The 25860-nt window shown below is 34.5% G+C and overlaps 1 protein-coding gene across 2 annotated transcripts in view, besides 2 other annotated features; it reads left to right on the top strand.

Annotated features, from left to right (window-relative positions):
* SLC7A11 (solute carrier family 7 member 11) overlaps positions 1-25860 on the top strand; it is a 78253-nt gene that overhangs the window by 9767 nt on the left and 42626 nt on the right. For both annotated transcript variants that reach the window (NM_014331.4, XM_011531802.4), the window contains exons 3-6: positions 201-316; positions 9259-9384; positions 13218-13317; positions 17954-17998. In NM_014331.4, coding sequence (NP_055146.1) covers positions 201-316; positions 9259-9384; positions 13218-13317; positions 17954-17998 — 387 coding nt within the window. The remainder of the gene's footprint in view (positions 1-200; positions 317-9258; positions 9385-13217; positions 13318-17953; positions 17999-25860) is intronic.
* Positions 9099-9709: an enhancer, noted in NCBI's record as "OCT4-NANOG-H3K4me1 hESC enhancer chr4:139144028-139144638 (GRCh37/hg19 assembly coordinates)". NCBI's record gives its function as "activates a minimal SCP1, AML or CMV promoter by ChIP-STARR-seq in primed H9 embryonic stem cells {active_cell/tissue: H9 hESC(primed)}" and the evidence as "EXISTENCE:reporter gene assay evidence [ECO:0000049][PMID:30033119]".
* Positions 14448-14993: an enhancer, noted in NCBI's record as "NANOG hESC enhancer chr4:139138744-139139289 (GRCh37/hg19 assembly coordinates)". NCBI's record gives its function as "activates a minimal SCP1, AML or CMV promoter by ChIP-STARR-seq in naive H9 embryonic stem cells {active_cell/tissue: H9 hESC(naive)}" and the evidence as "EXISTENCE:reporter gene assay evidence [ECO:0000049][PMID:30033119]".

Raw genomic sequence — 25860 nt, 5'->3', positions numbered from 1 at the left:
TTTAAAATCTAGCCACCAGTGTTACAGGAAGTACTTCATTTGGAATGTCTATGGCAACCTAATCAAGTACGGAATTCTGAAAACTATGGACTTTCATATTTAACATGTTCCATATGCTAAATACACTCAAGGTAGAAAAAATTAATGAAAATGCAGTTTTTTCCCCTGTGGTTAACCTAAATATATACATTTTTTTTTAGCCCTGCAGCTACTGCTGTGATATCCCTGGCATTTGGACGCTACATTCTGGAACCATTTTTTATTCAATGTGAAATCCCTGAACTTGCGATCAAGCTCATTACAGCTGTGGGCATAAGTGAGTATTATAGCTATATATGTGAAAAAGGAAAAACAACACAAAAATGATTGAAGACAAAGTGTCTTTAGACTTTTTGCATTGCGGGATTGCCTCTCACATCATGTTCTTTTTGCTTACAGTTCCAAATTTCTACTGGAAGGATTTGGAGTGGGATCCAATACTGTATTCCATGCCAGTTTTGTATTTGGTCAATAGATATGATGGCTAATCTTTTTAAATAGTAAAAATCACCTTACTAGTAAAATATTAAGTCTATTATACATGAACAAGACTTTTAAAGAGAAAACCCCAATTATTTTAGAGACTACTTGAATTGGAAATTAGCTATATATTGAATTATATCTCATGTGTAATCATGGAGTTACCTTTATGTAGTGGGTGTTTAAGTTGTACTTATACATTTTGTAGTGTTAGCAGCTGTCACTCCCAGTGTTATAATGTCAGCTGCCTGTTGTTGGTCATGAAAAGAATTTTCTTTTAAGATTGATTATTAGTAGTATTTTCTAACTAGATTTCTTTATGGTCTCCAAATTAAGAAGTTGTTCATCTTTTATCAATGGGCACAAATATTCATTGATTAAAAAAAGAAACAAAAAGAAGAACATGTACAAAATTGCATGAGTGATATGAAGCCATATATGACTCTAATTCCCCAAAAGATGCCAGGTACCAAATCCTTAAATATGGGAAAGGATAACTTAATTCTAGGTGCCATTTGAATCACTGTCTTAAGAATCAATATGATCACATTTAACCGAGTTTTAGCTACTCATAAAGAGAAAGCTACACAGGAATAACTCAACTGCATAATCGTGGAAGAATTTTTAGTTTGTATGGCTAAGGTGTTTCAATGGGACAATGCCTGGGGTATTGCCTGTAATTTACTTATTGCCTGTAATTCATTTATTTATTTTTAATTAAAATTTAAAAAATAGATTTAGGGGGTACAGTGCAGTTGTGTTACGTGGATATATTGCGTAGTGGTGGAGTCTGGGCTTTTAGTGTAACCATCACCCAAATAGTGTACATCGTAGATATTAAGTAATTTTCATCCCTTATCCTCCTCCTACCCTCTCATCTCTCTGAGTCTCCGATGTCTATTATTTCACACTCTACGTCTATGTGTATACATTATTTAGCTCCCACTTATAAGTGAGAACCTATGGTATTTGACTTTCTTTTTCTTTAATTCCACTTAAAATAGTGACTTCCAGTTCCATCCATGTTACTGGCAGCAAAGACATTATTTTATTCAATTTATTAAGAAGACAATAAAAAATGGTAACTATTTATACTTTTGGAAAAACATCATTTGATGTTCCAGGAGACTAGAGACCTATTCATTGCTGTATTTCCAGCCCCTCACTTAGCTCCTAGCATGTTGTTGGTGGTGCTCAGTAAGTATTTGTTGACTTGATTTTCTGAGAAGTCTAAGAATTTTTTCTCCGGCAGAAAAGTCTATAGTCTGTTTACTTGTTAAACTTGGAGGATTAGATATCTTCAGTATATTTCCAGGCAGTGGGAAAATGATAAAAATGAAATAGAGTTTGCTTCATATTATGTTCAGATCTAGCAGTCTAAGTTTTTGAGGGTTGAACCATTTGAGCATAGTGGTTACAGTTTAGGCTTTGGAGGGAAACAACCTGGAATTGAAGCTTGGTGTTACAATTCTTAGTTTTGTGATCTTGTGCTAATTTTTAAACCTATTTAAGCCCCAGTTTTATATATTAGGAAAATGCCTATGAAAAGATAATCTATTAATATCTTGAATAGCTGAAGGAAGATGAAGTTAAGCCAAATTTTTTGTTTGGGTCACATTCTTTTTCATTATTTTTTCTTTTTTTTTTTTTAGCTTTCATTTTGAGTTCAGGGGTACATGTGCAGTTTGTTACATAGGTAAACTCGTGTCATGGGGGTTTGGTGTACAGATTGTCTCATCACCCAGGTACTAAACCTGGTACCCAAGCTATTTTTTTCTGATTCTCTCCCTCCTTCCAAACACCCTCAAGCAGGCCCAGTGTCTGTAGTTCCCCTTTGTGTTAATGAGTTGTCATCATTTAGCTCCCACTTATACGTGAAAACATGCAGTATTTGGTTTTCTGTTCCTGTGTTAGTTTGCTAAGGATAATGGCCTCTAGCTCTATCCATGTTCCCGCAGAAGACATGATCACAGTCAGATTTTTAAGACCTTTAACAGAGTGCCTTGCCTATAGAAAGTTCTTGATAAGTCCACTGTTCCACTAAGGGACTGAACTAACAGCCATTGTTATATTCACCATTTTCTTGTCCCTTGAATGACTGAGGCAGAATCATATCACAATTATTATATTTAAAAAAGAGAAGAGCAGGGGTGGCATTTTTGAGAGCTCTGTAAATTAACAATGATAGTTATTAATTAAAAGCCATAACCAGAAGACTAAGTAGATTGCATGTAAACATTTATAAATCCACAAATTTTACTCACTTTGGAGTTAAACTTATATGAATACTAATGCTATATTTATGTTTTTATAAGTCTAGATAACTCTTTTCTTGTTTATCCCAATTCAATTAAACATTTTAAAGGGAAAATTCGTATCTCTGAGGATTAAATGAAAACTGCTCAAACTAAACTTTAAAACAGTTCTAGGAAAGGATAACCATATTGGGGTTTACAAAACCTCTGTAGTAGACATTGGTGACGGAATAGTTAACAAGGAGCCTGAGGAAATCTTAGATGAACCCAGACATTTCCTTCTATTTTTGCCATAAGTTATTACATTCATTTTTAAATTTTGATGTTCCTTTTGCAAGCTTGAAATTCGGAGAAAGAAATGTGTACCCATAATCAGCAACAGTTAAAAAGCAAACTGGATATCCTTATGACTCAGTGGTAGGTAATGTAAATCAGTGCCCTAATTGGGAAAGTCAAACTGTCTGTAAGAAAAATTTAGCTTTAATGGTGCAACAGCGGGTGGAGATGGAGATAGAGAAGGAGAAATTTATCTAGGGGCAAATCTCTCACACCCTGCTTTCTTCAAAGTGAGTCTAGGTGATTTTCTACCTGTTAGGGGTGGAAGGTTAACCAAGATGTAGAAAACAGAGTTGAATTGCATGAATTGCTTCCCTGTGATCCCTGGGGAAGGAAACAGTTCGTGGTCATTTGAAATCTCTAGTTAAGCATAGAAAAAGGGCAAACCTGAAGGGTCTTGCTACATCATAGAAAAAAAGAATTTCAAATTTTGTGAAATGTTAGCCAACCATTTGAGAGATGATAATGGGATAAGGGTGGGGGGTTAAGTAAATACTAATTCACCCCCATTTTTTTAAGTACTGTATTTCATTTCTGTCAAATTTAATGAAGATAAAAAAGTTTTTGCTTATACAAATTTCATCCATTCCAGTAAACATGTCAGGTGCGTGGAAGTTAAGATGGAAAATCTTATAGATTTGCATTTGGCTGCTCTCTTATAGCTCAATATTTAATTACTTTCGTTTGTTCTTTTTTTTTTTTTTTTTTTTTTTTGAGACGGAGTCTTGCTCTGTCGCCCAGGCTGGAGTGCAGTGGCATGATCTTGGCTCACTGCAAGGTCTGCCTCCTGGTTTCACGCCATTCTCCTGCCTCAGCCTCCAGAGTAGCTGGGACTACAGGCGCCCACCATCACGCCCTGCTAATTTTTTTGTATTTTTAGTAGAGACGGAGTTTCACCATGTTAGCCAGGATGGTCTCGATCTCCTGACCTCATGAGCCGCCCGCCTCGGCCTCGCAAAGTGCTGGGATTACAGGCATGAGCCATCGCGCCCGACCTGTAATTACTTTCTTCACCTTCTGTAGAAGTTCATGAATTTTCACTGCTTTTATAGATTCAATAAGCATTGAAGTATGCTCAATATTTAAAATATTTATCTGTTCTGTATTCCTGAAATTGGACCCTATATAATTATACACTTGAATGTCAGAATATTATAATAAAAATATTCTCCTTAAGATACGAGATCTAGTCCCAGATCCATCCCTAACACCATCAATTGTTGGATGTCAATTTCCTTGCTAGTTTATTTTATCTATATAAAATAAAGATGAGTTAAGAACCCCATCCTAATTCTCAAACTTTTGAAAGTAATTGGGAGGAACAAGCAAAAATAACATTTGTGATTGTATTGTGAAAAAAATTACCCAGTTCTGCAAACGTATTACTTTATATTCTTTTTGAAATCTATATTTTCCTGGCACCATTAAATTACATAAAAGAAAATCTAGGACTATTTCTGTGTTAACACTTCAAATACAGCATATGAAGTGGCTCTGTTTAAATCTTTGAAATCTGGCTATACCTACTTCTTTTCTACCATAAGTAACTTAGCAACACAACCAATTCTTAGGTAAATAAACATAGTATTAAAATATACAAGTACTGCAGAACAACTATCACATACTTTAGGAGGATGACATGCAAAATGTGGAAACAAAGGGTCCTGTAGCTAACATAAATGTGAACTTTTGCAGAGAGAAAGAGCCATCAAGAGTTTAAAAGAACTAGGTACACCAAGGGGATCATGTATGTCTTTTGAACTACTTCCTCATTGTTGCCTGGGAACTAATGGTAAAAGTGTGGGCTCCAGAGTTAGATTACCTGGGCTCCAGACCCATCTTCACTGTTACTACCTATGCAAACATGCGCAAGTTAAACAATATCTTGAGTCTCAGCTGCTCATCTGAAAAATAAAGCCAATAAAATGACTATGTCATAGAGATATGAGGATTAAATAACATTATTCATGTAAAGTCTTTGTACAATGTCTGCCATAAAATAAGTTTATATTTATATATCACTTAACATTTTTATTCCCAATAGTGAGATCCTAGATACAAACTGTCACTCTGCTTTTTAAAGGGTTTGTTGCTACCTGTCTTCTCTAAAATTAATGCATCCAGGAGATGAATTCTAATAAAAAGATAAAAGGAATCCAGGCAGTCATTACAAAACAGCAGTGAAACAACCCACTTTATCTCAACATGTAACATACATACACAATATCCATATATTTTATCAGTTAAGCACAAAGTACTCAGAATTCAGAAGCCAAGAAGAACCTGACCCTGGGAGAAAACCCAATATATCTAGACTCTGTAATCTCACTCTTCAAAACCCAAAGACAGACTTGAATTACATAGTGCAGAAAGAAATACTTGCCAGTCCTTAAATCACAGCTTCAGTCCTTAACATTCCCCTAAACATCCTCTTCAAATATAGCTTCCTTCAAATATGTATTTCTTATCTCCAGGATTTATAGATATCACTTCCATTGCCACATTTCAGTTCTTAGGAAACTGCATCATAAATAAGTAAATAAAAACTATATGTCCCTGTATTTTTATTTTGGTAAAATTTAAGGGGAGCATACAAAAGAATGCCCAGACTGATATAATTATTTCCTCATGTGTGAAATTAGCAAATTGTTATTCAAAGGAAGTAAAACTAGGACCAGAGAGCTGGCCCAGATTTCTTTCATTATTGCAATGTGGGTAAGGTAGTATTTTTTAAAAGTATATATTATTTGTTTCAGAAACTTAGAAAGCTCTTGCATTTAGTGAATCCCAAGTCCCTTTTCAATATTGTTGGAGAAGCAACATACATAGACATAAATTTCACTGTAAAGACACGTGATGAAACAGCAGTTATAGCCACCGGAGAAGCTTCACTGTACCTCTCGCTGGCTGCCTTGTTACTTGTTAAACTGTGCCTTCAGGGTAATTCAGGGGCATCTCAGCTGGAATTTAGTGTACCAAATAATGAGTACAATGTCTGGATGCTCAGATAAAGCAGGGTTTTAAGAACCCTTTGAAAAAAATTCATCTTTTTTTTTCTTAAAAAGTTTCATTGAGGTGTAATTGACATACAATAAACCACACATGCTTTAAATGTACAGTTTGATAAAGTGTGATGTATGTATTCACCTGTGAAACTATCACCACAATCAAGTACCCAGCAATGGGATTGCTGGATCATATGATAGATTTATTTTTAGTTTTTTGAGACACTTCCATACTGTTTTCTATAGTGGCTATACTAATTTACATTCCCACCAGCAGTGTACTAGCATCTTAATGAGAATTTTTGTTAAGCTATCTGAGAGGAAAGCAGGGTGAGATGATCAATTCATAATATCTGTTTAATTTTGTCTTCCATTTGCCTAAGAAAACTTTACAAAGTATTTTTTAAAATCCCAAATACCCAGTTTTTTTAATATTTCAATAGACATTAGGTACTTATACTCTTTATGAAAGTAACAAAACCTCTTTCTTATTTTCAAACATATAGTTAGTTGTTCCAAAAATAAGAATGCCTCTCTCTCTCTCCTTCCTTCCTCCCTGCCTGCCTCTTTTCGTTTTTATCCTTCTCCTTTCCTCTCCTTTCTTTTTCTCTCTTTCTCTCTATATAACAGTTCTTTTCTACTGTGGAAAGAACTTTCATAAATACAGAGTGCTTTGGGTTTTAGGAGCCCTATTTGAAAGAAAACACTGCCCTTTTGTTGCTGGTGGCCACATGAGACAATTTTTTCACTTTTACACCAACGTTGAACCTCCTTAATTAAAACAATAATCATTATTGTGTAATGACTCATCACACAGTCATTTGCATAGAAAAGGAAAGGAATCACTGGATGATGGAGCAGGGAGCAGAGTTACACTAACTTATTTTCCATATATAAGTGCCTTATATTGGGGAGAGATAAATAATTTTATTTTTGTGATTCCTCTGATAAAATAATGCACTTTGTCATTGACAACAGACCTGTCTATCCCTTCATGTTTTCAGCTTCCAACACAGATGAAATAACCCCCCTTAGATGCCCCTGTAGCTTATTCAGGGGTTTGGCCTTTTTGATCATTCTCATAATTACTCCTTTGAAATATTTCTTCGTTAGTAACCCTGTATTTCACTTTGTATGAGATCTTCTGATCCCTTATTTTTCCCATCTTGGAGTTTTTTCCAAAAACAAAATGTATTTTATTGCTTCATTTACTTTTGAAAATTTTTTCATCTTTATTGAGGTATATACAACAAATAAAATTGTAATTTTAGGGTGTACAATGTAATGATTTTATTTATATATATATATATATATATATATATATATATAGTGAAATTATTGTCTCAATCAAGTGAGTTAACACCTCTGTCACATCATTTAGTTACCCCTCTTTTTTTTGTTTTGTTCTGTGGTGAGAACATTTAAGTATATTTCAAGTATACAATTCAGTATTTGAAACTATAGCCACCAAAATGCTATATGTTCATCATAAAATTTATTAAACTATTCCTAAAAATAAATTTAAAAAATTGAAAATTATTTAGTGTTCTATCACTTATAAACACCTGCTGTTGATGTTTTGGTAAATATGTTTCCAGATCTATTTCTCCTTCCTTCCTTCCTTCCTTCCTTCCTTCCTTCCTTCCTTCCTTTCATCCTTCCTTCCTTCTTTTCCTTCTTCCTTCCTTCCTTCTTTCCATCCATTCCTCTAACTTGCTGTATTGATCAGTAATATATCATGAATATCCTTTCTTGTAATAAATATTTAACTGCCTCATAATTTTAAGTGGCTGCATATAAACTATTAAAATGATATACCTTAATTAGCCTTCCTTTAGGAGGTTTAGGCTATTTCCATTTTTTTGCCTTTAAAGATTATGTGTTGCTGACATTTGCATTGATTGTTAAATTCTGAAGTGAGCTAGTAACTATATCAGGCAGTGAAAACTGTGAGGCGGACTCATTACTATATATAAGGAAAACTTCCAATTTCAATTTGAATAATAAGAATTCTGTAGGAGTTTTGTTTCATTCTTTGAGAAATATCTTTACATTTTAAATATTTGTTTAGGGAGAATATACCTTTATAAATATAAAGGTTATAGTTAATAACTGTAAATGTCAGGAATAAAGTAGTGTTTTGGGTTGTTCCAAGCATAAGGTTGTGGAAAGAGTATAAAGTTGAAAACCACTGTCTAGAATAACCTCAGTCATCCCAGCAGAGTAGGGGAGAAAGGTCTTAGAGCATCACCATTTCCCTTGTGCCTTAGATTTTCTAACTGAGGATCCAGTTCATTCATTCAACAAAAATGTATTAAGTTACCTGGGCCAGGCATGGAGCTGGATACCAGCGATACAGCGATGAATAACCCTTGCTCTATCCTTGAGGTTTTCATGGTCCACAAGGTGTCGAAGGTGGATAGTTATTGCTGCTTGGGAAATTGTAGACAGCATCAGTAAGAATGAAAAATTCTTCTGGCTTTGAACCCAATGTGCATTCTAGCCTGGTTAGTCTTTTGCACTCATCACTTAGAATATTGTGCTGAAGCCCTGAAACATATCTTGAAAAACTATACTTGTACGGTGGGTTGAAAGTCGCCCCTTGACATGCTAATTAGAAAGAAGACAACCAAAAGAAAAGTGCTGCCTGAGGCTAGTCCTGAGAGTGAAAAATAAGATCTGAGCCAACTTCTACACTTCTTGCTCCTTCTTGAGTGTGATCCACATTGGCAGGCATACCATCATAGAGACAGGAAAGAGTTGTCACATCAAGCTAGACAGTGAAATTCAGCCATCTGATTGGATGCTGGGTTTGGTTAGAAGACATTTTTATGTGATTGTTAGAGTACTACAATATATGTCCACTCTTACATACAAAGAACAAGAGAAGAATTCTTATTGTCCAGAGGCTTTATCCATGTTTCTCAAACTTCAATGTGCATAAAAACCAGCTGGAGAACCTGTTGAAATGTAGATTTGTATTCATTAGGCCTGGGGCAGAGCCTGAGATTCTGCATTTCTAAAACACTTCTAAGTAATGTCAACACTGCTGCCTCACAGATTGCCCTTTGAGTAACAAGGACCTAAAATGTCTTTGTGCCAGTGAGAATTCACCTTTTGTAACTTCCTCTATTTGTTTGCAGCTGTAGTGATGGTCCTAAATAGCATGAGTGTCAGCTGGAGCGCCCGGATCCAGATTTTCTTAACCTTTTGCAAGCTCACAGCAATTCTGATAATTATAGTCCCTGGAGTTATGCAGCTAATTAAAGGTATGGACTGAAAAGCAAATGCTTTTTAAAATACGTATCTGCTTTTGGTCTTTTTTAACACTAACTTTTGCTTGTACTAACAGAATCCTTAATTAGTCTCTGCCTGTGGAACTTAAACTCTATATTGTCATCTAATTGATTTGAAAGGCTGCTACATTGTGAGTGAGTTGGTTTTTACAGTTGAATGGCAGAAAGAGGATTAAGAATGGGCCATGCAACAAAATAAGGCATCAGTGAATTTTCTAGGTTTAATGGTTTGGAGTGAAAACTCGAAGTGGAAAAAAAAAAAACCTGCCACTTAGTTTTAATTAAAGATAAATATGTCTTTTTTTTACTTTAAAATTGTCCAATAATAGTAATAAAAATTAAAGAGAAAAAGGTATCTGGAAAGTGATAAAAGATGATCAATAATTCTTTGACTTTCTGGTTATTATTCCTTTTAAATTGAGAGTGGTATCCTCAACAGAGGAGTCAATACGGGAACAGCATTCCTAAACACCAAAATTATATCACAATAAAATAGTTGTAAAAACTTAATTTTTATTGTTACATTATTTTTAATATAAAATTCGCATTTCTGCGATTACTTGCTTTATAGAGTTTAACATTTAATTTAAAAAAAGAAATTGAGAGGTGACATTTAGAGTTTTTGTTTTAGGAAAGAAGGCACATGCAGTTGCTTGGATTCAGTGGAAATTGTTGGAGGACAGAGATTCACATGTGGTATTTAATTAGCAACAGGAATATAGCAGGAAATAAAGTGAGAAGAAATTGTAAAGGAATGACATAACTTGGGCATGTTAAGTATTTAATGTTTACATTGATATTGTCTGTTCCAAGAAAGGGAATCTAGAGAAATTTAATGACGTTGCAGAAGAATTACACAAGGCAAAAGGAAATGCCAGCGTTTGGTAAAATCATCACTGTTGGTAGAAGCATTAAATAATGACAAACACTGAAGGATCAGCCACTCTGGAGCTGGGAAAGGGAGCTGCTGTTGCCCATTTAATAAGCCTAGTGGGAGATTTTAGAGCCCTGCTGGCGGAAATGCTTTTATGAAATCCAGCAACAGCAGCCAATGCAGAATAAACACAATGAAGATTTTGACCGTTAGAGCTTGCACTGAAGAGAAGACAGGAGCTTGCTCTTCTAATACACCTTGGCCTCCACAGAGCTAGCCTGCTCATTTCTATCTTATTCGTTAGGAATGTAGGCACAATAATCTGTTTTGTTAGTGCTTTATTTTTCTGAGCTAACTCTTCAGTCTTCTGTAAGGAGTTTCTTCAGTATTTGAAAAGTGCAGAATCTCTGGGTCATTGGCTGTTCTTTAATACTAGTTTAGATTCCAAAAGATTATATGCTATCCCTTGAAACTAAGATTTATTTTCTTCTTCTTTTTGGTGTAATGTAAGATACTATAGGTAGCATTATAGACTTTATTCAATTTTTACCAGGTATTTATATATGTATATGAGGAAGGGTTTGGTTGCCCAAATGTTGCTCTATTGCAAATTCCTTGAGAGCAGAGGTCATGATATATCTTGAGGTTTTTTTAGTGGCTAAAATACAGAGACACTTTAATCAATAATCATGATATCAATGCTTAATGTGACAGGCTTATTCAGAGATCTCACACAACAGAGAAATTCCCTGAGAATATTACCGCATTTAATGTAAATTTAACATTTTAGAGACCATTATTAGCAGGTATATTTGCTCGATTGCTGTAAAATTGTGATTTTCTTCATCTCTAACATGATCACACATTTTTCACATTAATCTGAAACTCTAGTAGGAGACTTTGTTAATACAGATTGTGCTTTTATTTCTATTCTAATCATATCCTGAAAGTAGTTGTATGTTATGTATTCACTTATGAGAGTTTGTTGAACTTTCCTTTGAATATTGCCTTTAATCTTCATGAGACCTCTGTTATATAGCCAAAATATTCCTGAATTCTAGAAACAAAATGCCTCTCTTTTGTAATATTCTCAAAATGGCACTTTTGAAGATCTTTGCTTGTGACCCAGTCTTTATAGAATTTGGTTTTTCTTATGGATTATTTGGTGCTGCACTCTAAGAAATATTGTGCCTTTATGCCAAAGAGACCACAGATTATGATAAAAGAATATTCAACAGATGCTTTTATCTGAATTCCACTATTTATATTTTTCTCCTGGAAGGACACAATGATGTTTTAGTAAAATGGGCATTTCTGAATTTATCATGTCATTTAAAAAGTGAGCTATGTTTGGGAATCATTTGAGAGAAAAATTGTTTAGTATATAATTCAACATTCTCCATTTTTGGTCTTCATACTCACACATATTATATTTATATATAAGTTATGCCTGGGCAATGAATGCAGGAAAAACTGAGATTTGACTTGGAAGAGAGAGTGTCTCATACACATCATCCACCCCCTGTCCCCCTTCTGTTTATTTACATGAAGTTTTATTTTAAAACAAAGTCTCACTTCCCATTTGGGTAATCTCATTTGCTATTTTCTTTGGGTAATAGAAACATTTTTTCTGCTTAAGCTTGAATATTGACTGACTAAAGTAAATCTGAATTTCTAACTTTTAAAACTATTCAAAAGATATAAAAGAAAAAGCTCCAATGTGATTCATAAAATAGAGAAAAAGGTGAAGTGTTCAATTCACATGCTGCTGCAAAATTTGTTGAAACCTATTTATTTTAGAGTTCATTATAATATCTTTTCAATATTTCTAGGAAAAAAAACATGTCATTCTCTAGGACAGGGTCACAGAGTGAGTGGACTTTCTCTGTAAAGGACAAGAGAGTAAATATTTTCAATTTTTCAAGCTAGCTGTATGGTCTCAACTCTGCTATTATAGGTTGAAATCAGCCATAGGCAATACTTCATGAATGGGTAATACTTCATGAATGGGCATTTTTAACTTATAGATAAAGAAAACTTTATCTATAAGAAAGGCTTGCAGCCAGACGCAGTGGCTCACACCTGTAATCCTAACACTTTGGGAGGCCGAGGCGGGCGGATCACAAGATCAGGAGTTCAAGACCAGCCTGGCCAACATGGTGAAACCCCATCTCTACTAAAAATATGAAAATTAGTTGGGCATGATGGCGCGCTCCTGTAATCCCAGCTACTCAGGAGGCTGAGGCTGGAGAATCACTTGAACCCAGGAGGCGGAGGTTGCAGTGAGCCAAGATTGTGCCACTGCACTCCAGCCTGGGCCACAGAGTGAGACTCCATCTTGAAAAAAATAAAAAAAGAAAGGCTTGCAGTTTGGGTTGACACACATGGTCTTCAGGATTTTCCAACTTCTCTTCTAGGAGGTAGGCATCTAATGAACAACATGGGATAAACAGAAAGCAGAAAGGTAAATTGTGTAGGAAAGGAGTCCTGGGATTTATTTCCATCTCCTCATTAAGGGTAGAACCTTGGATACCTCTCCGCATTTTCTTGCCAAGCAAAACATTATCTTTTTAAGAATTCTATCTTTTAAGAATTCTATCATATTCATAAAGATTATAATTTACAGAAAACCCTTTAGTCTTCTTTTATGGTCACAATAGAGGCATACTCAAACAGAGGATTATTTTTCAATGCCATTTTCATCTTTGTTATAAATTTATTAAAAGAGAAATATGAAATAGTGTTAATGATCAATATACTTTTGGGACCCCTTCTATAGAATGGGTACAGTATTGATAAAGATGGTAATCAACAGAGAGTAAGAAATCTAGACTTACAACAGTATGTTTCTCCGCACCCCCATGTTTCTGGTTAAGAGTGAATAAGAACCAATTCTTTGAAAAATCCTAAAATCAGTCTATTCTAATTACAGGTCAAACGCAGAACTTTAAAGACGCCTTTTCAGGAAGAGATTCAAGTATTACGCGGTTGCCACTGGCTTTTTATTATGGAATGTATGCATATGCTGGCTGGTAAGTTGATAGCTCCAGATCTGGTGGTTTGCGTAGTTCATTAATCCCATTATGCACTCAGATTAAGTGCCAAGCAAGGTGCCAGGCAAATGTGAATAGCCATAATCCAGTGTGATAGGCTTTACTTGAAATGAGAAATAAGGTATTATCCCCTCCACCAGGCCAATTACTTTGCACATGACAACTAAACATAACAGGTTTCCAGTCAAGGTGACTGCTAGATTTAGCCTGATGTCATAAAAAACAAACAAATGCTGGGTCTTAAGATCCAATAAAAATTACTTATAAGTATGTACCAGTAAGGACATAATAGTGCCGTAAGGTACTAAAGAATAATACTTCGCTTGTCAAAAGGCCTTTCAGCTAAAGCTCCAAGGGTGTTTACAAATAGTGATTAATTGATTTTTTTTTCCAGCTTCTCGTGAGAGAAGTAACTCAGATGTAGAAATAAGTATGACATTCCCAGAAGGTAAATGGTAATCTAAAGGCAGAGAAAGAGAAACCAAGATAATGCAGTCAACTCTTCTAGACAGTCTATTACATTTAAAAGGACCTTACATGTTCCTTAAAATGTCCCCAACATCTGAAAATTTAAAAAAGTGAAGATGATTAAAATCATGATGCCACAGATATATTTCCTTTGATGTATGTCCACCTGTGATACCTACCTTTCTAGTTAAGGCATTAAAACTTTGTATTTGTACCTTATTTGTTCAGATACTTGAAAAACAGTAATCATGTAATCATGGATAAGAGTGGGACTTTCTCTTCAGTAAATTTTATTGACCTTGTAAGATTTAGTTGAGATGATGGTTGCAAGAAAGCCTACAAGGTATTATTTAATTATCAAAATCATTGTAGTAAGATTAAATTTCATTGTTTTGGGATAAATCATGGCAATGTTTATTTTTTAATTATCTATAAATCTCATTGTTATACAGCTTTAGCTGTGAGAATGATCTATGAGCCTGGAAGTAATATTAGGAAACCACACTAGCTAAAAAATTATATGAATGCATTTCCAACACAAATATAATTCCTTTTGTTTTTTTAGTTTTTAAGATCTTACCTTCTAGCCGATGCATGGAATATGGATATATTTCAAAATGAATGGAGCGTTTACCCTATTAATCTCATTGAATTATGAAAATATGGTATTAGAGGATAATTAGGGGGTATGGGAACTTAAAATCTTAACATGGCCTTTGAGGCAAAATATGCTTGAAGATTGTTAGAAGATTATAGCTCTAAGGAAATCAGTGTAAAATATTTGTATATTCCCAGAATATTTTTATAACCATTATATGTAAGCATTAGTTTTGAATCACTCAGTATTTTTGAAGTCTTTTTGCTTTTGTCTGAAGCACAATGTGGTGCTAGACATCAAAAGAACTGAGCGTGATCACAGGGTTAAAGCAGAATCAACTGTTCTATGGCTATTCAGCCTGGATCAGAGCTCTGTGCCCTGGGGCTGAAGCCAAGCTACTGGGAGGGTCACTGGGAGACACCAGAGCAAAGCGGGGAGGTAGAGAAAGCTTTCAGCTACAGCCAAGTGTTGGGAGCCGGGCAATATGCAACCACGAGTGTGGAATGTGAAGATAGTCACAAGGGAGGTTTGATTAATTCTGTTGAATGAAATTTCTTTTGCCTGAGAGTACGATAGATCTGTTCCCATGCCATCTTAAAATATTCTTTTACCCTCCTCACTTTTCTAATACCCAGAACTAAAAATTCAGGTCACTTGCTTTATGTAGAGCAAAATTTCTCCGCTTATGTAGGCTTTTGAGGGCTGATGAATTTCTCCATGGATGAAGACCCTTTTCATTTTGAATTATTGTACTAATATTTAACTTTATTGATGCTGACCCCAAAATGTTTCTCTGATTACAAGGTAAAAGGGGTTTACATGAATCTTTTTTAATACTTTTACCCATATAATCCTCATGTCTACTCCCTATTTGAAAGACCAAAAACCATTGATTTCTTTATATCCTTGAGGGTTCAATCACAGTATTGGAAAATAAGTCCAGGATTTAAAATGGAATGTTATCTGATACAAGTGGCTTATGTAGGGGACAGATAAGTAACCGTGTTTCTATAACAGGTTGTTGTGCTACCTGAATGCTGCTTTGTGAAGACGCAGAAATAATCTGGCTGTTAATCTATGGTCATCAGTCTTAGAAAAAGGAAGCTGTGTTTAGAAAAAATATAGTCTGTTGGTGTGGGGTTCTAGAGGAAAAGTTATTATCTGGATGTAAATGAAACAAGATGGAGGCTAAAAGAATTCCAAAGAGAGGGGCATTTATTCACTTGCCAAATGTGATCTCGCCTTTCTGACCTTTCTCTCGCTTTCAAGATATAATTACAAGACTGGGTTGTAGAATTATCAGTGGGTAAGTGTAAATGATTCTCCACTCCCTATGCTGCTGCTATGACAATGTTTGATACCCCCCTAATAAAAGGGCATTGAAAATGAGTAAGTCAGAAGCAAAACAGCTATTGTCATCAGAGCTTACCGCCCAGCCTGTTAGCCTGTAAGTAAAAGCTGCAAGACCATTGTTGTCCTGGAGACCTTGCTCTGCTAGCAAGGAAAAAGATACCACCAAGCCCAGGGTGGGGATATGAATAGTGGAGGTTTTTGTCTCTGAGGAATGCTGAAACTTTCTAGAATGATAAAGCTACTTCACAGAAACTTGAGTAGGGGAAAAGAAATCATTAACCCAGTCAGGTCACACAGTTGGGTCGGAACAATGTTAATAACATTGCCAATGTCTGCGTTCAGAGAAATACATCTGCCAGTCCCCCTTGTGGCCCTGGGGAACTCAGTCCCATATCCTGATCCAAAGCTAAACATTGCTTGGTAGGGTTTTCTTTTTTTTCAATTGTGTGATAGAAAATCGTTTTTAGTGTCTTTTTCTCTTCCTTTTAAATCCTATCCCCCTCTATGGATTTAGTCTTTCTAAAGCACTTGCTGGGATTATTTTGTACTGTTGTGTCAAATCTAATCTAAAGAATAAGCTTCTTTTAAAAATAATTCACATAGTTGGGTATTGGAATGCATTGCTAGCATTGCAGTACCTTTTATGCACAATCATGGAAAAGCTGGAACAATAGATCTTATGAGCATTCGCTAGAGTCCTTGAAGTGTTGTAAACCAAAGAGAATATCATGGTCATTCCTGGAGACTAGAACGTAAAGGTGGATTTCCCACAGGATGTGTGAATGTTTGGACTAAAACAAGAAGCTTTCTCCTTCCTACTCACCATCCTGCTCCAAGCCCTTTCCTTTTCTCTACTCCCTGGAGCTGTGGCAAATATTTGAAATTGTGTTCTATTTTTCATAAATATTTTCTTTCTTGCTTTAACATTGTGGGAAAAGACTACTTTCTAAAACAACTGTTAGGAAGGAACTGGCTATTTTTGACATGAGAAGCCTAAAAATATTTCTTGGGGTGTGTGATTTTTCATTGGTGGTGGTGTTTGTTTTTTAGTGTGCATGTGTTTTTTTTTCTTTTTTCTTTCCCTACTTCCCATTGCCTCAGGCTTATAGCAAACACATCAAACCCCTCTTGGAGTGCATATTGCAGATATAAGTACTGATTGTTGCTTGCTTTCATGGTGTAACTACAATCTCTATTTATAGAAACTTATTTTCTAGTCATTAGAAAAATCTTTGGTTGCTGACTTTTTAGATCACCGTTACTGCTACTGTTCTGTCAGCTCCTCAATTATTTCTACTTAAAACAGTCCTTAAAATTGTAGACACTTTAACCTTGAACATCAACTGACTACTTGTGAATTTAGGTGGTTTTATAAAGATGGAGCAAGACAGGTTTCTTCATCTTTGTTTTAGCTGGTGAGATACTTAAAGTATATTAAGAGCTGATGGACTTATATTCCAGCCACTTGATTTTCGATTTTAGAGAATTTGTACCTATGAATCTGTGCTCCTGCATACCTATGTAAAAGGTTACTTTTAATAATAATAAGATAATGGAAGATTATATTGAATATATGATTTTTTTTATTTCACAAAAATTTTCTAAGCATAGAAAAGGAAAAGGTAGAAAAGTCTTTGCCTTCATATGTTTGGCTCTTTCTATAGTAATCCCTCTGTCACACTTGTACTGCAGTGTACGGGTGCTCATTTTCCTGTGCCTAACCCCTCTGCCACACTTTTGTGCTCGTGTGCTATTCTCAGTCTGGAATGGCCTCACACCACCTCACCAGGGTAAGATAAAGCAGTTCTTAAAGGTTCAAGTTGGGTGATGCCTCCTCTAGAAAACCCCCTTTGACCTACCAGGTTGGGCTAGACCTGCCCTCTGGCTCCCACGTGCTTGCTCCAGTATTGGACCTGCACTGTATCACACTATTCTGTGGGACATTCTATGAGCTATGAGCTCCTTAAGACTATGGGCTTACCACTTGTATATTTCTGACACATGATAAAAACTCCACAAATATGGCTTAATAGAAAAATGACTTATGGGAGTATTTAGTTGTTAGATATTTTCATCTTACTATAAGTATTGTTATAGTTTTCATAATTCTGGGTTCAATGTTAAATATTTAAAATTTGAGACTTTGGATAATGGTAAAATATATTAATAGTTTATAATTTATTTATCTATTTTTAGGTTTTACCTCAACTTTGTTACTGAAGAAGTAGAAAACCCTGAAAAGTAAGTAGCCAGATGTACCCTGAAATTTTTATGAAGAATAAAATTTAAGATTACATAGTTTAAAAAGCAGACTTGAAGAAGGAATTCAGTGTGGGCTAGTCAACCTTAACATCGTCATCATCATCACTATAATTCTCTTAGATAAGATTTATTTGACTTTATCATAAATTATATACATAATTATATTTATAATTATATACAAATAGCTTAATTATATAGTCTACATTCAATACTAAGTTGTCTTTTAACCTGAAAATAGGAAATAATAAAGTTATATTTTAGGTAGCCTATCCCATATAAACACATACATATAACTTAATACGGACTCTAAACTACCCACGGGATAGCTTGAACTCAAAAAGTTAATTATTTCTAACAATTCATGTAATCTTTTTTCATAACTATCGAATTAAAGTGAGTAATGTAATTAATAGACGACTAGTTACAAAAGCCTAGAAATACCTGCAGAATGTTATAGGACCTTATAAATTTGGGGAGCTGGATAAGTTTTACTCTTTCTTTCTAGGTAACAACTTGATAAGTAGATGATTTGATGATGATTTATGTAATATTTTCAAAATGAACTAACTTAGGGAAAAATGAATTATTCTTATAATTTGTTCATAAACATTGGATTTGCTACAGGAAAAAATAATTCATGGGCAAAAGAGGGAAAATGTAGGAACTGTAGTATAGTATAAAATGTAGACTAAATTATAAAGTTATTTAATTCATTTTACTTTATTGAACATCTGCTATGTTCCAATCATTGTGCTGGGAACAGCTTTCATGATGCATAAGACTTGTCTTGAAGTATTTTATTGACTAGTCAATGAGTCAAATGTGTAAACAAATAGATGTAACAGTGTGATTGGTACCAAAATAGATTATTTATCCAGTTTGGCAAAAAGGAAAGAAGGAAATACTTGTGTATCTAGGGAGATGTTGTTTATAATAGTGTCTCAAATGATGAGTAGGTGTTCCTTAGGTAAATATAAATGAGAGAGAAGAGGGGTATGGGAGGAGAGAGAGAGAGAGATAGAGAGAGAGAGGAGAAACACAAACACAAACAAACACACACTGATTTCTAGGAAAAAGAACAAGTACAAAGGTGCATCAGTATGAAATAGCCTGGACATCAAAGAATATACCTAAGGGTTGACAATTCACACTAAGATAGACTAGGAAATTCTGGCACCTGGTATCTTGGGAAATGGTAAACTGATGAGATCTGGCCAAGTACCAGGAATGTCGGAGTTTAGAACACATAAGCCAGCAATTGGTATCTGATTCAACTGCTATGCAAATCAATATGTAATTTAAACATGTGAAAGGCCATTTTATTAAGAAATATGACCAATTTATGCCAATATTGTCATATCTATAACTGGAATTGTAGGTCGAGAACACATATTTACCAAGAGCTAGTTCTTTCTAAGCGTTACTTGGAAATGACAAGCTACCTTACGACTGTAAACCCATTGATTACAGAGATAAATAGGTTGGCCTGCCTTTTTAGTTTTTGAGAATAACTTGTATGTAAGCACCAGCATAGAGAAAAGACAGTTAGTACTGGATATAATATAAAATATGTATTGAATTTCTATTACGGGAAATAAATTACTATGGTTCGTAACTATGTATGTTAAGTCTAAAGACATTTTAAAGACATCAATTACTAGAATTTAACATGAGAATATTTTTATAAGCAAATGGCAAATTGTAGGGTTGCAGACAAGACCTATAACATAACATTTATTATATGATTCATCAGTGGTGTAGATATAATTCATATTATCTTTAATATTATTTAACAGTTTAAGTGTGATTTTTGTTTGACACATATATAGTAATACTATTGTGTATATTAAGCATATCTTGAAGCTAGTTATGCCGTTATTACCTCAACCCAAATTTCTGATGTATTCTACTAAACTGTGTTCCAATTAAGGATTGTCTCCTTCTCTTCTTAAATTAAAGGGCCTTAGTTGCACACTACTGATAATGTCCATGATTTAGTGCACACAGATACTAAGGAACAGTGATGGTGATGTATTGATTCAGTGTTTTTTTTTTTTCTGTTGCAAAGAAATTCCCTTATCTAAAAAATGGAAATAATAATAACACATACTTCACTGGGTTGTGTTGATGAATTAATATGCATAAAGTGCTTTAGATTAGTGACTGTCACTTTTTAATTTCTACATAATTGTTTGGTTGTCATTACTACTATTACTGTTATATACTTTATTAGAGCAAGGTAAATGTTATTCACAGAATAGTGTTTTCTAGAATTCAATATTCCAAGCAATTATTTTTCTTCAGAGCTTTTGAAAGAAATGTGAAAAATTACACCATTTTGAAGCTTACTTTCTAAACTTTTAGTGTCAAACCTCATATGCATTTTTGATCTCTATTATGCATTCTTGATCCATAAAATATCTTTATGGGATATCTATGCTATCTCGATGCATGCATACGATGTGTAATGATCAAATCAGGATAATTGGGTACTCATCACCTCAAACATGTATCTTTTTTTGTGTTGAGAATATTGCAAATTTCTCTTTTAGCTAATTTAAAATATACTATGTTTTTGATAACTACGGTTACTTTACTATGCCACTGAACACTAGAACATGTTTTATCTAACTGCATTTTTGTTTTCAATAACCAACTTATCTTCATTACTTTCTCCTTATACTTTATAACCTAGGTAACCATCATTTTACTCTACCTCCATAGGGTCAACTTTTTTTTAGCTCACACGTGAGTGAAAACATACAATATTTGTCTTTCTGTGCATGGCTTACTTCACTTAATATAATGTCCTCCAGGTTAATCTATGTTGCTTCAAATAACTGAGGATTTCATTCTTTTATTGAATGAATAGTATTCTAGTGTGTGTTTATATATATTTTCTGTATCCACTTATCCATGGATGGACTCTTAGATTGATTCCATATTTTGGCTATTTTGAATAGTGCTGCAATAAACATGAGAAAGCAGGTATCTCTTCAGTATACCGATTTCCTTTCTTCTGGATATATACCCAGCAGTAGGATTGCTGGATCATATGGAAGTTCTATTTTTAGTGGTTTGAGAGCCTCCATATTGTTCTCCATATTGTCTGTACTAATTTACATTCCCACTAACAGTGAATTTTAGATTCAGGGGGTACATGTGTGGCCCCTGAATTTAAAATAAAAGTTTTTTTATTTGTTATATGGATATATTGCATGATGCTGAGGTTTGGGGTATGAATTATCCTGTTACTGTTGGGTATGGGGCATAGTACCCAGTAGGTAGTTTTTCAGCTTTTGCCCCACTCTTGCCGTCCTTACTCTAGTAGTCCCCAGTATTTATTGTTCCCGTCTATGTGTTCATGAGTACCCAATGTTTACCTCCCAATTATAAGTGAGAACATGCAGTATTTGGTTTTCTGTTTCTCTGTTAATTTGCATAGGATAATGGCCACCAGCTGCATCCATGTTGCTGTAAAGGACATGATATCATTCTTTTTTATGGCTGCATAGTACATGTATATGTACCACATTTTCTTTATCCAACCCACTTTTGATGGGAACTAAAGTTGATTCCATGTCTTTGCTATTGTGAATAGTGCTGCAATAAACTTATGAGTGCATGTGTCTTTTTCATAGAATTACTTATTTTCCTCTGGATATATAACCAATAATGGAATTGCTGAGTCAAATAGTAGTTCTGCTATAAGTTCTTTGAGAAATCTCGCAACTTCTTTCCACAGAGGCTGAACTAATTTACATTCCCACCAACAGTGTATAAGCATTCCCTTTTCTCCACAGCCTTGCCAACATCTGTTATTTTTTGACTTTCTAATAATAGCCCTTCTGACTGATGCGAGATGCTATCTCATTGTAGTTTTGATTTGCATTTTTCTGATGATTAGTGATGTTGAACATTTTTTCATATGTTTGCTGGCCATTTGTATGTCTTCTTTTGAGAAGTGTCTCTTCATGTCTTTCATCCACTTTTTAATAGGATTATTTGGTTTTTGCTTGTTGAATTGTTTAAGTTCTTTATAGATTTTGGATATTAAACTTTTGTCAGATACATAGTTTGTGAGTAATGTCTTTAATTCTGTAGGTTGTCTGTTTACTCTGTTGATAGTTTCTTTTCCTGTGCAGAAGCTCTTTAGTTTAATGAGGTCCCACTTGTCAATTTTTGTTTTTGTTGCAATTGCTTCTGAGAACTTAGTCATAAATTCTCTCCCAAGGCCAATGTCTGTAGTGGTACTTCCTAGGTTTTCTTCTTGGGTTTTTAGAGTTTGAGGTTTTACATTGAAATATTTAATTCATCTTGTTAAGTTTTGTATGTGATCAAAGATAGGGGTCCAGTTTCATCCTTCTGCATGAGGCTGGCTGGTTATCCAGGTATACCATTTATTGAATAGGGAATCCTTTCCCTGTTGCTTATTGTTGTTGACTTTGTTGGAGATCATATGGTTGTAGGTGTGTGACTTTATTTCTGGGTTCTTTAACCTGTTCCATTAGTTTATTTGTCTGCTTTTGTACCTGTATCATTCTGTTTGGGTTACTGTAACCCTATAGTATGGTTTGAGGTCAAGTAATGTGATGCCTCTGGGTTTGTTCTTTTTGTTTGGGGTTGCTTTGCCTATTTAGGCTCTTTTTTGGTTTCATATGCATTTTAGAATAGTTTTATCTAATTATGTGAACAATGGTGTTGGTAGTTTGATAGGAATAGCATTGAACCTGTATATTGCTTTGGGCAGTACTGCCATTTTAATGAGATTGAGTCTTTTAATCCATAAGCATGAAATATTTTTTCGTTTGTTTGTGTTATCTATGTTTTCTTTCAACAATGTTTTATAGCTCTCCTTGCAGAGATCTTTCACTTCCTTGGTTAGATGTATTTCTAGGTATTTTTTGTTGTCATTTGTGTGGCTGTTGTAAATGGGATTGCATTCTTGATTTGGCCCTCAGCTTGAATGTTATCAGTGTATAGATATGCTACTGATTTTTGTACATTGGTTTTTGTATCTTGAAACTTTACTGAAGTTGTTTTAAACACAGAAAATGCTTCCAGAAATATTGATGGGTGAATATCAAACACAGATGGTAAAATTATGTGGACTTAGCCCAGATGTGTAATTTGCATTATTTTTTAGGTAGATACAGCTTCAAAATACCTTTAGTTACAAGGGAGAATAATTATGATTCCATCTTCTTTGTGATGTGCCAAGATAAATGTGTTTCCCAATCAGTCATGGATACATGTGTCCAGGTGTGCGGCAACATGCAACTTTCTGGCAGCTGGTGAAATGAATCATCTGCTGAAAATACAACACCCTTTATGGTCTTCCTCCACCTAGACAATAAAATTTTCCTAAATTTGTGACCTAATAGAAAGATGATAATTAATTTAGATTAGTGAAAATACCAATGTGTATTAAAATATATAGAATTCAGAGTAAGTTTCCATGATCTCAATTGACTACACTTTAGGTGTAATTTCATTTTGAGACATCTTTCAAATTATCTACCATTACTCCAAGAAATAACTTTTGAGCTGCTATTATAAGTAGGTGGTATAGGACAGTTCCTTAAGTGTTGTATCGAATGAGAGACAAAGGTGGGCAAAATTTCTGTTTGTGTGATTACATTTATAATGTTAAGAAATTTTGCCATGATCTTTCTTACAATGTTTTCTTCTCCAAGAATAGCTTTGAATTTATGGAAGTAGCAATCTTTCAAATACAACAATTGCTATTGAACTTTTATAATAAGAGTATTGCCTTTACCAATTATCTATAACATTATGGCTGACTCCACAAATTAATATATTGGAGTAAGGATTGTATTTTGAGGGACATGAATGTCCAAAGTTTGGACCATGAAGATGATAGAATCCCAAGGAATAACTGAATTTTAAAAGGCTTTCCCCCCAAAAATGGCATATATATAGTAGTAATAATTGCTACTGTGTACATTTGTTTTAAAAAATCCTAGTGCTTGTGCAAGTGTAATGAATTTTGCCTTATGACATGACTTTTGTGGTGACTATGCAATCTGTCATTGTTCAAAAAGTTACACAGTGCAAAGAACATATCATTGAGATGTATAATGTTTGTAATCCTGCTCTTAGATTGATAAATCATATCTTGTGTTGATGAAAGCCAAGAAATGAATTGCTTTTCTTTGACCTTGGGGGTCTGAGATTAGCCACTTTGTCTATTAGCCTTATTCCAGTGTTCTTCTCACTTCATTTATTCCTTCTGTTTTGAAGAGCTGGAAATAGTAGACTTAGAGGAAGTCAGTAAACCTTGATATCATCAGTCATTTTTGAAAAACAGGCTATCAACACGCTCTGAATAATCAACTTTAATAGAAGGTTTAAATAATCAGAGTGTCATGTTTAATTAATACTTTGCCTACTTCCAGTTTATATTAATTGATGCCTCAAAGTCATCACACCTTGTACCAATGAAAACCTCGAAGAAGTGAAACTTGGTTTGGGAAAAATGCCCAAAGACCTTTAAGGCAGTGTGATCAACCAGATTGGTCTACAAATGGTCCACAATCATGTTATTTGCATTCAGTTCAGATGCTGCCGTCTTAAAATCTTAGTGTATCTGTATTAATTCCTTATTGACTGTGTAATTCTTTACAATACTGTTTTATAAGGCCTATTGCTTGTAGGACAGTTTTATAACCGTTACCTGAGTAAAAAACATAAGAAAACAAAATAGGCAAAATATCTTGCCCAAATGTGTTGTAGCAAAGTTACATGACTAAAGAATAAAGGTTAATTGAAGCCTTTTATCTTGCATTTTGACAACTTGGGAATGCGGCTTGCTTTCTTTCTCCTTTTATTTTTTGAGACGGAGTCTCACTTACTGTGCTGCCCAGGCTGGAGTGCAGTGATGTGATCTTGGCTCACTGCAACTCCACCTCCCAGGTTCAAGTGATTCTCATGCCTCAGCCTCCCAAGTAGCTGGAATTACAAGCATGTGCCACTATGCCCAGCTAATTTTTGTATTTTTAGTAGAAATGGGGTTTCACCATGTTGATCAGGCTGTTCTTGAACTCCTGATCTCAAGTGATCCACCTGCCTCAGCCTCCCAAAGTGCTGGGATTACAGGTGTGAGCCACCACACCTAGCCAAGAATGCATCTTTCCATGAGAGACAAATATTCCTCTTTATATGCATTTAGTTTTCTAACTTAATAGTCGCTAGAAAATAACATATAATATTGTAACTGTATATGTGCAGATTACAGCAATATTGTATTTTGTAATCTTTTTATTACAAGTCAATGTTATCTACATTCTTAGACAACATTAAATATTACTTTAAAGAATATTTCCAAAGTTTCTACTACAAATACTCAAGTTATATGTTTTTAAGATATGTATTAATTTATTTACAAGTTTATAAAGATATTCCCTGTGGCAAAATGAGGCATCTTTTTACTAATGACAATATGACATCATTAGAATTATCTTAAAATGTGACACTGCTTTTCTTCAATTGTTGAAATAATTGATACCTAAATTAGAATCCCTCTGGGGGTTTTTTTTTTTTTTTTGCTTTTCTTTAGAAAATATACATAAAGCTTGATTAATCCATTTTTAAATATGTTTCACAGTAGAAATAGAATTGTGCTAGTTGAGCCACTGAGGCAGACAAAAGATCGGTATTTGGCCAGATGTCACAGAGAAGAGATGATTCTGTGTTCAAAGAACAAGGTCACCAAATTGCTCTTCCTTGCTTTTGTTCACTCTAAAAATTTCGCACTAATAGAACATGTGGTTGATGTACCTTGGGATCAAAATTCTTGCATTTCTCGGCATCACATATGC

Source organism: Homo sapiens, chromosome 4 (assembly GCF_000001405.40).
Source record: "Homo sapiens chromosome 4, GRCh38.p14 Primary Assembly".
NCBI lineage: Eukaryota > Metazoa > Chordata > Mammalia > Primates > Hominidae > Homo > Homo sapiens.
The sequence above is the reverse complement of the archived record's forward strand: the minus strand, read 5'-3'. Positions and strand labels throughout refer to the sequence as shown.